This window comes from Homo sapiens, chromosome 6 (assembly GCF_000001405.40).
Source record: "Homo sapiens chromosome 6, GRCh38.p14 Primary Assembly".
NCBI lineage: Eukaryota > Metazoa > Chordata > Mammalia > Primates > Hominidae > Homo > Homo sapiens.
Window position 1 is genome coordinate 52,078,736 of NC_000006.12, and position 12,881 is coordinate 52,091,616.

At 40.2% G+C, this 12,881-nt stretch overlaps 1 protein-coding gene across 18 annotated transcripts in view; it reads right to left on the bottom strand.

Annotated features, from left to right (window-relative positions):
- Window positions 1-8,880, bottom strand: part of PKHD1 (PKHD1 ciliary IPT domain containing fibrocystin/polyductin) — a 472,317-nt gene extending 463,437 nt beyond the window's left edge. For 16 of the 18 annotated variants that reach the window (XR_001743469.2, XM_017010945.3, XM_017010947.3 and 13 more), the window contains exons 1-5: window positions 8,699-8,878; window positions 6,147-6,282; window positions 4,443-4,520; window positions 3,657-3,807; window positions 1,165-1,273 (exon numbers count right to left, since the gene is read on the bottom strand). Coding sequence is in view for 17 of the 18 variants with exons in the window: in XM_017010945.3 (XP_016866434.1) it covers window positions 1,165-1,273; window positions 3,657-3,807; window positions 4,443-4,520; window positions 6,147-6,198 (390 nt within the window). In the remaining variant the exon portion in view is untranslated. Of the gene's footprint in view, window positions 1-1,164; window positions 1,274-3,656; window positions 3,808-4,442; window positions 4,521-6,146; window positions 6,283-6,695; window positions 7,235-8,698 lie in introns of those variants that run through there. The other 2 variants (XM_017010944.3, XM_011514680.4) reach the window with 2 other exon arrangements.

The following is a 12,881-nucleotide window of genomic DNA, read 5'->3' on the forward strand; positions in this document are numbered from 1 at the left end:
TCTGGGGTGAAAAGGATCATGGTGATTAATGCTTGGACTTCTCTCTTCTGTTATGTTCCCTGAGACAGGATAGAGGTGGTGGTGCAGCTCTTAGTAAAAAAGAATGATATAATGTTTTTTCTTTCTGCTGCATATGTGCAAAAGCAAAATTCCAGAAAACAAGATTCTCTTGGATTAAGAAACAAGTTATTAAACCTGAAACAACAGCAAATTCCAAATTTCAAAACCAAATAGCCTATATGAAACACGGATCGTAGGAGAGACAAATTTACAAGGTGAAGCCTTATTCCGAAGGAGCATTCATTAGTGACTGCATTGTATGTTTTGAAACAGCTCTTAAACAGAGGTACCCCATGTGAAGGGCAACCACATCGACAGGAGTACCGCCAAATCTCTGCCTTTCATAAACCATCTAGGACCTTTTCAGAGATTGTTTAAAACTAATCTGAAATGAACAACAGACTGAACCAAATATAAATGAACTCCCAGTATAGGTATCAAGGCTGTAAAATAAGTCAGGCATGGCTTCCTAAACACTCTCTCTCTACTTCCTTTTTGATCTCCCTGAGCATGAAGGAGAATTCCAGCAGCAAATGCCCTTTTGGTTCAGTGTTGGAAAGACTTAGCAGAAATATACCAGGAAGCAGGGAGAGAGGTAGAAATTGGGTCTCCTCACCAAGGAACGTGGGGCCTTGAGTCTCTTCAACATGCTGAGACTCAGCATGATCTGAGCTGTAAAATGAAACACCCACAAAAGTAATCTTGGTGGCCCCTCTATGGGCTTCTATTTTGATGAGAATTTAGAACCAGATGCAAGTTGAAGTCTTGGTTCTGCCATTTACTGCCTGATGACATGGGCAAATTATTTAATCACCCTGAGCCTCAGATTGTTCATTTGTAAAAACAGGACAGTAAATAGCTACCCCATAAAATTGTGAGCATTGAATCAAATGATGTACATAAAGCATTTAGCTAAAGGCTGACATACAAACGTTCAAAATTCATCTTTCATTAGTATAATATAAGAAACTCTGTCATTACCATCCACCATTTTCTTTTAACCCGGTCAAGCAGACACGCTGGCTCATTTACAATTTGCCTTTCAATAACACAAGCACACCCTTAGACTATGTAAACATACCTTCCTCCAGCCTTAGAACCCACCTTGAAAGTACAGCTATCTCGTGGTCCTGGATTTGGACTGCTTACCAGCTGTCCCCCGAAGTATGCTTCCAGGAAGTACAGACCCTCATGTGCTTCAGACAGCACAGATCTGAGGACAGAAAGTGGAAATCCTTATGAATCAAAAACCATGAATTCCCAAAGCTAGCAGCCCACTTGCCACTTCAAATTTCCTCCTTGCACTTTTAAAACAGAGCTAACCAAGGATTCCCAGCAGTCACCTTTCACCTCTTTGATCCACTCATAATTATTAGACTTTAAGAACTGGGTCCTTCAGCAAAAAAAAGTTATGATTTTTTGTGTTGAAACTCCCTGAATTGTTTTTAATATGTCATGTTTCTCAAAATCATAGGTTCATTGGACTTTAAGAATTAGAAGAGACTTTGATAATCTATTCCCCATTTCCATGTTTCAAAAAATGTCAGAAAAACTAAGAGACTTATGTGTATGAGCTTCAAACGTTAAGGGCAAAGTGGGGCTTGAATTTAGGCTCTTTCTGATAATTGTCCAAGCAGCCCATAAATACTTCATGTAGCCATCAAAACAGAGTCTTGGATCTTCTCTCCTCTTTATACAAATATTGCAGTGGCTTCATTGCCACCTGATGCTGACATCCATGTTGATTTTTGTAAGAGGAAGAATATGACTAATAAGAAAGAAACCATATTTAAGACATGCCTCCTCTCCAAACCTTCCCAACAAAATCTTTAGTATGACCTTAAATATTTAGATCTGAATTGTCCATTGTGTTAGCCACTAGTCTTATGTGCTTATCAAGCACTTGATATGTGGGTAGTCCCAATTAAGATATGCCATGATTATAACATGCACACTAAATTTTGAAGACTTGGTATACAAAAAAGATATAAAAGTATCTCATTATTAATTTATATAGATTACATATTGAAATAATATTTTAGATATGTTGAGTTAAATAAAATACATTATTAAATTAATTTCACTTGTTTCTTTTGACTTTTTCAAGTGGCTAAATAGAAAATTTTAAATTACATTTGTGTTCACATTATATTTTGATTGTGAAGTGCTGCTTTTGATGCTGCAATGGCTGTTTTAGAGAAAACAATTATGTACATGTTTTTATGATAATGATGAATAAGACATATTTTGTTCATGAAAAACTGTACATTTTTCACACTTAATTGAATCTGATATTTGTCTTCCAATCAATTAGTATATTTAATAGGATCATATTTCTTTTCTTTAAAAAGATGACATAAAATCAATGGTGCATCCAAAAATCATTAGTATGTTGGGATAAAGGAGATAGGACATGTAAATCTCCAGAGCTTTGACTTGTTTCATGGCAAGTCTTTGCAGAATGTCTATGCCCAAATGTGCCATAAAATCTAAGGGAAATATATAACCCAGTTTTAAAACCAATAGTAGTGGTATAAAAATGTTAAATTCAACAGACATTTATTGAACATCCTCTACTCGTAAGATATTGCGCAATGCATCATGAGGACTACAATGGTGAAATTAAACACATCCCCTGCCCTCAAAGCACTTAATTCTGTGAGGAGGAGTCTGACAAGTGGGTAACTGACATATAAGTGTTATGAAAACTCAGAGCTGAGGCACAGGGTCACTAAGGCTACACGTGCTGTACCTTTGTGTAAATTACAAAAAAAAAAAATCCCTTCGGGGTGATGAATTGCACAGAAAAGTGTGGGTACACACACATACACCCTGTGGATGAATTACTACAAGTTGTTCCTTCTCCTTTCAAAAAAGGGAAAGATAACTTAGTTGAATGTTCAGGGAAAAGGTGGCATTTGTGGTATGGTTGGTGATTTCCATAGCCAAACATGGAAGAGGGGGAGACTTCCTCAAAGAGAGAACAGAAAAGAAAAGGAAATAACAGTGTTTTTTTTCTCTTAACCAATCATCTACTTGCATGCACTTTATTTACTCATGCCTAAGACATGAGTAAATAAAAATGAACATGAACTAGTCTAAATTTCACAGGGCAACAAGAAGTTGAGTAGAAAAACAGATTCCCTGGAGTCTTATAAAAATATTTTCTAAATAGAGGTAATGTCAAACTCAGCAAACAGAGCCTAAAGCAAATTTCTTTTCTAACCAGTTTGGGGTTTATGTGCAATCATTGCAATTATGCCTATTCCAAAAGATGAGTATTTGCAATGGCAAAATGGTACCATTTATTAAAATCTTAATAGCCATAGAACTCTTTGCAAAAAAAAACAAATGGAAACACAATCCAGCCCCTCCTTACGAATATCTCAAAGTTCTTCCCCATACTCTCATCCTCCGTTAAGTTCTAGACCCCAGATAGGGACCTTTTAGAAAGCATATTCACATGAAACTTTTTTTAACAACTATGGCTGGCAATTGAATCACAGCAAAAATTGCTCTAATATGTCACCAAAAGATACTGAGATAAGCAAAAATCCCTCATCCTGTCTGGTCTTCCTATTCCCAGACAGGTATACCTGGTCCGGCATGTCACCACAGGCAAATCCAAGAAAACAGGAAAGACGTCACAGGGAACACTCCGCAGTGCGGGCACCACCATGTTCACGTTCACCAGGTGTATCTCCAATTGAGAGCCATTGTTGGGGTAAAGAACACCCAACTCCAAACCTAACACAAGGGAAAGAAATCTCAGGCTGCATAGAATTGTCATTGACACAGGACAGTGTGAAACTGTGCTAAGATCCTGGGGGTAATGTAAGACATTAAATTTGCCCAAGGATTAAATTAATACTCCTCATTTCCTCATAGATGCTGTATAAAGGAGTTTTCTCATTTATGATTTTATGAAAGAGTTTTCTCTCTTCAGGTTCACCTAAATCCAGAAAAGAATTTTTCAGCCCTCAGATTTACTCTTTACTCTGCTGGGGATGGATATGCTAAGCAATGGTGCAGAAGCTCCCAAGTAGAGGACTGTCTTTAAGGAAGATAGCCAAGATTCTGGGAGATGCATTGCTGAGCACTATGCTACACACTTCCATATCATCTCATGTAGAAATCCCAGAGTCCCATCCCACAGCCTGGAATGGGAAAGTGGACACAGAGTTGTCATGGTATGCTGTGCTTTGCTTCTGTGACATTAGCAAGCCAGTATCTAGAAAGACAGAAGTTGGTCAGTCTGTTCGTCTCCCTTCAGGCCCACTTTTACACCTGTCCTTAGAAAAGGAAGAAAACCAAAGACTCATAGTCTTTAGGATTGTGGGTCAATACATAAGAAATGTGCACTTGGTAAAACCCCAACCTACCATCAAAAATGACTGTGATCCACGTTCCCCCTGCAAGGCTACCTTCTTCAGGTTCAATATGTAAACTCAGGTGACGTACTGTAAGTAAGTGAAAAAAAACATTGGTTTTGAAGGTCAGATTCAAACCACTACCTTCTGCAATATTTTAAGCAATATTTAACCTGCCTCAGAATCACCAGAAAGGCTTGATTAAGCACAGGTGGTTGCACCACATCCCCAGAGTTTCTGGTTCCGTAGGTCTGGGGCAGGCCCAAGAATCTACATTTCTAACCAGGTGCTGCTGGTGTGGGAAACACATCATCAGAAGCCCCATTTTAAGGAAAATTTTGACAAATTCTTCTTATCTTAGACATTCAAAAACCCTGCACTCATCAGGACAATTCTGAATTTCTACTTCCTTTGGAAAGAGCCTCAAGGACATATTTGGGTCCTAATCAAACCCATACTGTCTCTCTCTGCTCTCTTTCCCACTCTTTAATCAGGTGGCCATATTTCCCTGTAAAGATCATCAATCATTTCCAGTCCTGGAGAGAAAAAAGGACTTCCATTAGGTTGGTGCAAAAGCAATTGCTGTTTTGCATTCCTTTTAATGGCAAAACCGCGATTACTTTTGCACCAACCTAATAGAAGCTGTTCCTATTTCAATTCTCCTGCTCAATATACTGCTTAATATACTAGTTTTCCCTCATGATCAGAATGACTTCCCAAATGAATACAAAATTATCTAGATTCTTGCCTTGCCTGCTTAGAGAGGGGGTGAAGCATGGATCATTGCTGGAATTTCCTTTTGTTTAAAAAAAAAAAAGGCAGTATAGAATTTATATACTAGGCTAGATTGGATTCTCCTGTATAGATCACCAGCTAAGCATGGGCCTTAATCTATCCCTCCATCTTTGAAGATGTTCCTGGACAAGTCTTGATGAAGGAAAGGCCAAGTTAAGGAAGCCAGCAAAAATCATGCAGCTGCTCAGTGAGGTAATAAACAAGGAAAGTGTTACCGACAGAATTATTTATAGTTTCTTTAGAAGAAACTGTGTCTAGCCCAGGACTTCCCTGTACAGTTATTCTCATGATGCACTTCACATCTGAAGGTGGTGGGGAACCACGTCACATTAGCACAACCATTTATGGCAGCCCCAGCCAGACTAGACCATCTTCCAAAGATGATTAGATACTTCTATCTAAAGAAGCCCCAAAACAAAGGCCATAAAAAGATACAGAGGATAACCAAATTCGCAGAGAAAATTGAACAGATGATTTGAGATAATACAAGCAATCTAATGATTATGACAAGTTAATCTCTTTGGGAAAGTCCGACAGCAAAATCTAAAAAGAATTACATCACATAGCCCAAAAGGAATTATAAAAGAAAGGTTATAAGTTATTATTAAAAGCTCTGCACTACAACAATAATCTTCACTGACCATTAAAAATTGAAGTATATAGTCATAACATTTCAGTATATAACCTCAGCTGTTAAACAGAAAATAAAAACAATTATTCAACATATAATTTAAACCCAAAAGCAAATACCTTAACACCTGCTCTGAAAACAGTATTTTTAACTCAATTTTTTGATTGGCAAGTTAAAAATGCATATATTTATGGTATACAACCAAAATATTACTTTAAGTTTCAATAATAGTTCTCAAGGTAACCTATTGTGTTCTTACCTATAATTCCTTCAAAACACATTCTACTGACCTGCCAAAAGTAGTACTTCAATACTCATCAGAGAGATCAGCCAGGCAGTCATTCTGTCCACTTAAATCAATACTCTTAAGATTGCTCAGACATTAAAAGCATTTTCAGTTTTGATTGGAGCAGCATAGCTTTTGTGCTTTATAAAAACAAAAAAAGCAAAAAAAAATTATCATTTTGTTTACATACGATTATTTTGCTGTTCTGAAACCTGGGAAATTAAGGAGATGAGATAAACATGGCCTTAGTGTCTTCAAATGGAGCCACCATTTTTCCAAGCTCAGGAGAAAAGGATCATCTGAGAACCTTGCATAAAATCATCCCCACTCTGCCCTCCTTGTCCCACCAACTTATTTTAAGCTGGATAAATAATAACCTCTTTCATTAACTCATTATTGAACAGAAGCTGAGTTTTAAAAAGAATTCTAGAAATTAAAATTCTAGTTCGTGATAGGGTGAAGTCTGTTTTGCTTTGCCCTGTGCTGGCGTCCAGCTTTCCCTCGTGCTGCTCTCCAGTTTGAACCCTACACTGCAGCCACACGCCGTTCTCACCGTCACTCAGACAAGCCTTCCACACATCAGCCTCTGCCTTGGCCCCTGCTGGTCCCTTCCTGGATGCCCTCAACTCTCTCCGTGGCCTCAGGAGATCCTGGCGCACCTTCGTGGTGCTGCTCAGGAGCCCCTCCTCAGCTGATTCTTTCCTCCGCCATTCCAGTGCTCACCACCTTCCCCCTGAACCTCTAACTTCCGTGCTGTAGAGCCTAGACCAGATAATGTGGCACACATAGGCCTCTTCTTCCAGACGGCACGTTCCTTGAAGAGACCCAGGAACCAGTCTTCTATTTCCACAGCCTTCCTAGTGTGAAAGTGTGAAGGTCCCACACAGCGCTCAGTACATTGGAGTGGATGAAGACATATTTGAATACCCTAAATCTGGGTTTACCTAATCTGAGATGAACAGCTTTCACTCTCATGCCTGCTCTAAGGAAAGTGCTGAGCTGCTCTCCAGCACCTCATGGCAGAGGGCATCGACAAAATCCTCTTAAAAATAGTGCCTCTGAAATTTTCTGAAAGTTTGAAAATTACAGAATTAAACACCCACATGTACTACTAAATACACGTTTAATATATATTTAATTATGTTTATGTTTATTACATATAAATATATAAATATATTTAATATATATATACATACCTACATACACACACACACATACACACACACAAAGTGTGTGTGTATGTGTGTGTGTGTGGCAGGGTCTCATTCTGTCATTTGGGCTGGAGTGCAGTGGCATGATGTCAGTTCACTGCAACCTCCATCTCCCAGGTTCAAGTGATTCTTATGCCTCAGCCTCCTGAGTAGCTGGGATTACAGGTGTGCGCCACCACACCCGGCTAATTTTTGAATTTTTTGTAGAGACAGGTTTTCACCATGATAGCCAGACTGGTCTTGAACTCCTGGCCTCAAGTGATCTCCCTGCCTCAGCCTCCCAAAGTGCTGGGATTACAGGCATGAACCACCACACCTGGCCATTTAATTTATATTTTTAAGAAAACACTGAGATTAGCAGAAGTAGTTACATCATTTCTGAAAATATAAAAGCTACAATATACTCCCCCCCTCAAAAAAAAAATCTGCAAAAACTTTGCAATAAACTCACCTTACGGGCATGTTCTGATTGAGACAGCTGGAAATCTATAATCATTTCTATTTAATTCAACACTGCAAACATTTATTGTATGCCCACTACGTGCTAAGCACTATACTAAAAGTTGGGAAAACAAACAATCTATGTACCTGCCCCCGAGTCATTACCAGATAGGGTAAGTGTGGAGGCTACTTGGATTTAAGAAAGGAATTCTAGTATTTTCAAGTGGATTCAGCAAGTGTTCCTTTTCGTTGCAAAATTCCCAAACTTTTACGTCTATTTGAAATAGAATTCAACTTATAAATATACAACTTTCAGAATACATCTACCACATAGGGAAAAGTACCCAAGCGTATTTGCTGCTTAGTCCAAAAGCATGAGATCTGACTTGCTTGTTACACAGACAAAATATACTCAGCACAGGAGAGTCTATTTTCAATCTGGCTACGTGATTTTAACATTTCTTCTTAATGCCTACTCCCAAGCTCAGAACAATAGAAATAAACATTCGCACACTGGTTTTCTTAAAACCCTACATTTGGAACTGCATCTTTTTCATGTCAATTATAAATGTAATTTTTTATTAGTCTATCCACTAATTCTTCCTAAAAATAAACTCAGACTCTCTTTATTTCTCATAACTAAAATTTTTCAACCACAGAGGAGAGCTGTGTGCATTTATTTAGTCATGTTTTTGTTCTCCTCTCTCTCTCTCCTCTCTCTGCTCTCACTCCCTCTTCCCTTCTTCCTCCCTTCCCTCTCAGCTTCTCCTTTGGGACATCGAGGGACAAAGTTGCAAGGCACTACTATAGATCTCCCATTTCTTCCTTTTGTTCACCAGAACGTTAACAAGAGATACAACACCTAGAAAACAGAGAGCAGAGACTTTTCTGGATCAAACAGTACCTTTTTTTTCTGTTTCTGTCTCCTTGTGACTCAAGGGAGAAATGATCCTTTCTTTCTAAGTGATCTTATTTCTCTCTGTCAAGAATCCGTGGACATGTTATCTGGTTAGAGCTCAGCCTGCAGCCACCACGCAGGTAACTCACTCACGTTAGACTATAACTCACCTAACTCGTTTGTGTCCCAGCCAAATGTGTACCAGAGTAAAAGTTCAGACCTGACCATGGGTAAGTTTAATGATTAACATAAGCCACTCAGGCTTTTTCCTCAGGGCTTGTTAGTAATGACCAAAGGAAAAGTGTCTTACATTTTTCTCCACTTACTGCATGTGCCCCAGATAAGAATTTTAAGTAAAAGTCCACCCAGTGAGACAAACAGGCATTCAACATTGAAAGAATTTGCCAGCAAATCAGCGATTGAACAGAGGGCTCAAGAGAAAGGACCACTAGAGGGCAGATCCCCATTCATGAACAGTCTCTCACTCTTCATCCCGAAGAGTGACTCGTAAATACCAGGTTATGGGCTGTTATTCATATACCCACTGTAGGGGTATGGGTCTAAAGAAGTACAGAAGGGAAGTAACTTGGTCCAAGTCTTGCTGAGAAAGGGTTGATTGATTCTCTTCATTTTTCTACTCCTCATCCTCCCTCTTGACCTTGCTTTTTTAACCAAGAGGAGGTCCTTGACTTGTACTCATCACCCTCCAGTCGTACCCAGACCATGGGCCTCAGTCATCGGTTGAACTGGTGGGCCTAGGAAGGTCAACAACACCTTCTTACTTGGTCCATGTCTGACTTCTCTGTTCCTGTCCCACTGCCCATTCTGATTCACATCCCCCAATTCCTGATCATGTTTGTCTACGTCTGGCGATACCTGACCAGAAGACGTCCTTATCTTCTATCCTCTCCCTTTCCTTTGAGGGAGAAGTCATTTTGGTAAAATTTGATAGCCCTGAGTCTCCACCTTCAAGGACCAGCAGTAGACCTGGAGAAGCATCTCCAGCAAAACCAGATTAAAGCCATGGAAATACGACCACAACTCTGATGACAGTAGTAAAACTATCCTCTAGAAAGTGTGGAAGTTTACATCAACTCTGCTGTATATCACAGTTTGGCAACCCGTGACAAGCTGAAAAATTTTTGTAGCCCTGAAGCTAGTGGTGTAGAGAGAGGGTGCTTGGCCAGATTGGGGCAGGTAGGGGGTCAGTCACCCCACCACCCTGCCTGCCTGCTGAACCTCTCTCAGTTTCCACTCTGGATCTCTTCCATGCAGGTCAACAAGCATCATTTGAACCACATTTGTGTGCCTGGCATGTGGGTAATGGGAAGGAGGGGGAAGACTAGTTTGGGGGTAAAGGAGATTTCAACATTATTAGTAACTTTTATTTTTATAAAAATGATATGAATCACTTAGATAATTCAAAGTTATATTTTTAAAGAGTATGACACAGTTTCTGCCTTCAAACTGCTTACCATCTGGCAGAGGAGACAGAAATATAATCAGATTATTTTATTATATTGTAGAGTCTCCTGATAAGTTTCCTAAGACTTATGTTTTATTTCTTGTTATTTCAACAAGAGGTTTCCATAAATTAGCCCCACATCTATCCTTGGCTAAAAGGCCTATAATAAATATTTATAAGTATTTTTGGCAGCCTAGCTATCAAGGCCGCATCCTAAAATCACCCCAATTTTCTTATGAGGAGACAGCCACCTCTCTACTATGGACTAAAAGAATCCTAATGACACCCAGGACTTTGGTTTCTGTGCTCTGTGTTATAGGTATTTCGTGGTGGACAATCAAGCTCTATTGTAAAAGAAATAAAGGACAATGAATCATTTCTTGCCTTGAGGCCTAAAAGGAAATGTTGTAGAACTCTAGAGAAAGTGGCTATACCACATGAAGCTTTGGGGAGCCTCCAGTATTCCTGTCATTGGGATATGTCCATGGAATATAAGCCCCTTACACTCCAAAGCCTCTTTCACATAGAAATTCTAAAGCCTTGAGCTCAAGTCTCTGAAAATGCTTCTCAGGAGGCAGGCTGAGCACCATTTCTCTGCTATTCCAAGGAGGGTAGCCATGCCCACCACAGACATTGACAACACTCTACAAGAAGTAATTCCTATGAGTGCTTATAAAATTCTCAGCACAAAAATTGTTACTCAGGCCTATGATGCAAACTCAGGGAGGTCAGGAGAGAGGGTTAATCTCTGACCCCTTTCTCTTGGATTCTAACACTGCTCTGAATTCCTGGAAAACTGTGGGGGCCCATGAGAATGCACCTTGCAGATCTCCAATTACAAGAAGCATAAAAGATCAAGGGCCTAGTTTCTTTGCCATAAAATTCATCACTGCATTTGGACCAAGGCCACGCTTCTACATGCTGCTCCCAGCCAAGGACTGAGTGTGGAAGGATAGTAAGACAGGTCCATCCAGAGGAGACACAGGACTCCTCCAACAGCAACTTTGCCTTAAAGCCTGCCTGATGACCTTGCTGAACCTTCCTAGAGTATGTGGCAACCTAGGATGCTTCCACCCCCTCTCTTTCACTGTGGTCAGACTGGCAGCTTGCCCAGTGTTCTCCAGTTCCAACCCATCTTTTCTCACAGGCACCACCTTAATAAAATCCTTGCACGTTTCATCCTGTTTCAGCATCTGCTTCTCAGAGGACCCAGACTAACACAGGAACCCTGTGGTAGGAGAACACTATTGATAGGCACTTTGGACTTTGCATTAGTGGCCCCAGGAATGGTGTCAATTGTGAAGAGTCTTTAGAAGGGTTCACAGGCTATGGATATTAAACAAAGGAAGCCAGAATAGAAGAGGAAGGACAAAATGAGCATCATCTAAGAAACTCTGAAATTAGCATGCTGGATACCTTTCATTTAACCCTCCAGACCTACTCTCTACCCTTCTCCACCCTGCTGTGTGCCCTTGGAAGGTGACCTGTGTGGGCTGCACCAATGCACTTATTGCCCACAAGTGTTTCACAAATGGAGGCCACAACCAGGAACCCAGAGGAAGGGGCAGAGAGACAAGATGTGATAAGAGTATTTTCCCCCACTTCCATCCCTACTAGATCTCAGCTTCTGACAGAGGGGCCTTTCCATATAGCACCCTCACTCTCATTCTCTCACTCTCTCTGCAGGTTCTAGTGCCCCTCCTCTCTTTATTTCTTCAGGCCTAAGGGTGGTAACAGGTCCTACTGTTCCTAGCTTGCATACACTGCACCATCCCTTCTTGCTCTTCCTGAACCTTGGCCACACCTCTTAGAAATAATTTCTTTATTAATTTTTCAGTCTACACATGCCATCTCTCTAGGTCCTAATGAGACCCTAACTAGAATAGATAAGCTCTAAGAGATAGCTAAGTTCACACATGGGTCAATGTAGAGTTCAAAGCCATCAAAATGTGGGTGCAACTATAAATATGCCCCCATGTGTATGCATAGGCTGATGATGCCAGCCAACACTGAAGTTATACACATCGTTCCCAAACAGGATGGTATGGTTCTTTTTTTTTTTTTTTATACTTTAAGTTTTAGGGTACATGTGCACAATGTGCAGGTTAGTTACATATGTATACATGTGCCATGCTGGTGTGCTGCACCATTAACTCGTCATTTAGCATTAGGTATATCTCCTAATGCTATCCCACCCCCCTTCCCCCACCCCACAACAGGCCCCAGAGTGTGATGTTCCCCTTCCTGTGTCCATGTGTTCTCATTGTTCAATTCCCGCCTATAAGTGAGAACATGCGGTGTTTGGTTTTTTGTCCTTGCGATAGTTTACTGAGAATGATGATTTCCAATCTCATCCATGTCCCTACAAGGGACATGAACTCATCATTTTTTATGGCTGCATAGTATTCCATGGTGTATACGTGCCACATTTTCTTAATCCAGTCTATCATTGTTGGACATTTGGGTTGGTTCCAAGTCTTTGCTATTGTGAATAGTGCTGCAACAAACATACGTGTGCATATGTCTTTATACCAGCATGATTTATAGTCCTTTGGGTATATACCCAGTAATGGGATGGCTGGGTCAAATGGTATTTCTAGTTCTAGATGCCTGAGTAATCGCCACACTGACTTCCATAATGGTTGAACTAGTATACAGTCCCACCAACAGTGTAAAAGTGTTCCTATTTCTCCACATCCTCTCCAGCACCTGTTGTTTCCTGAC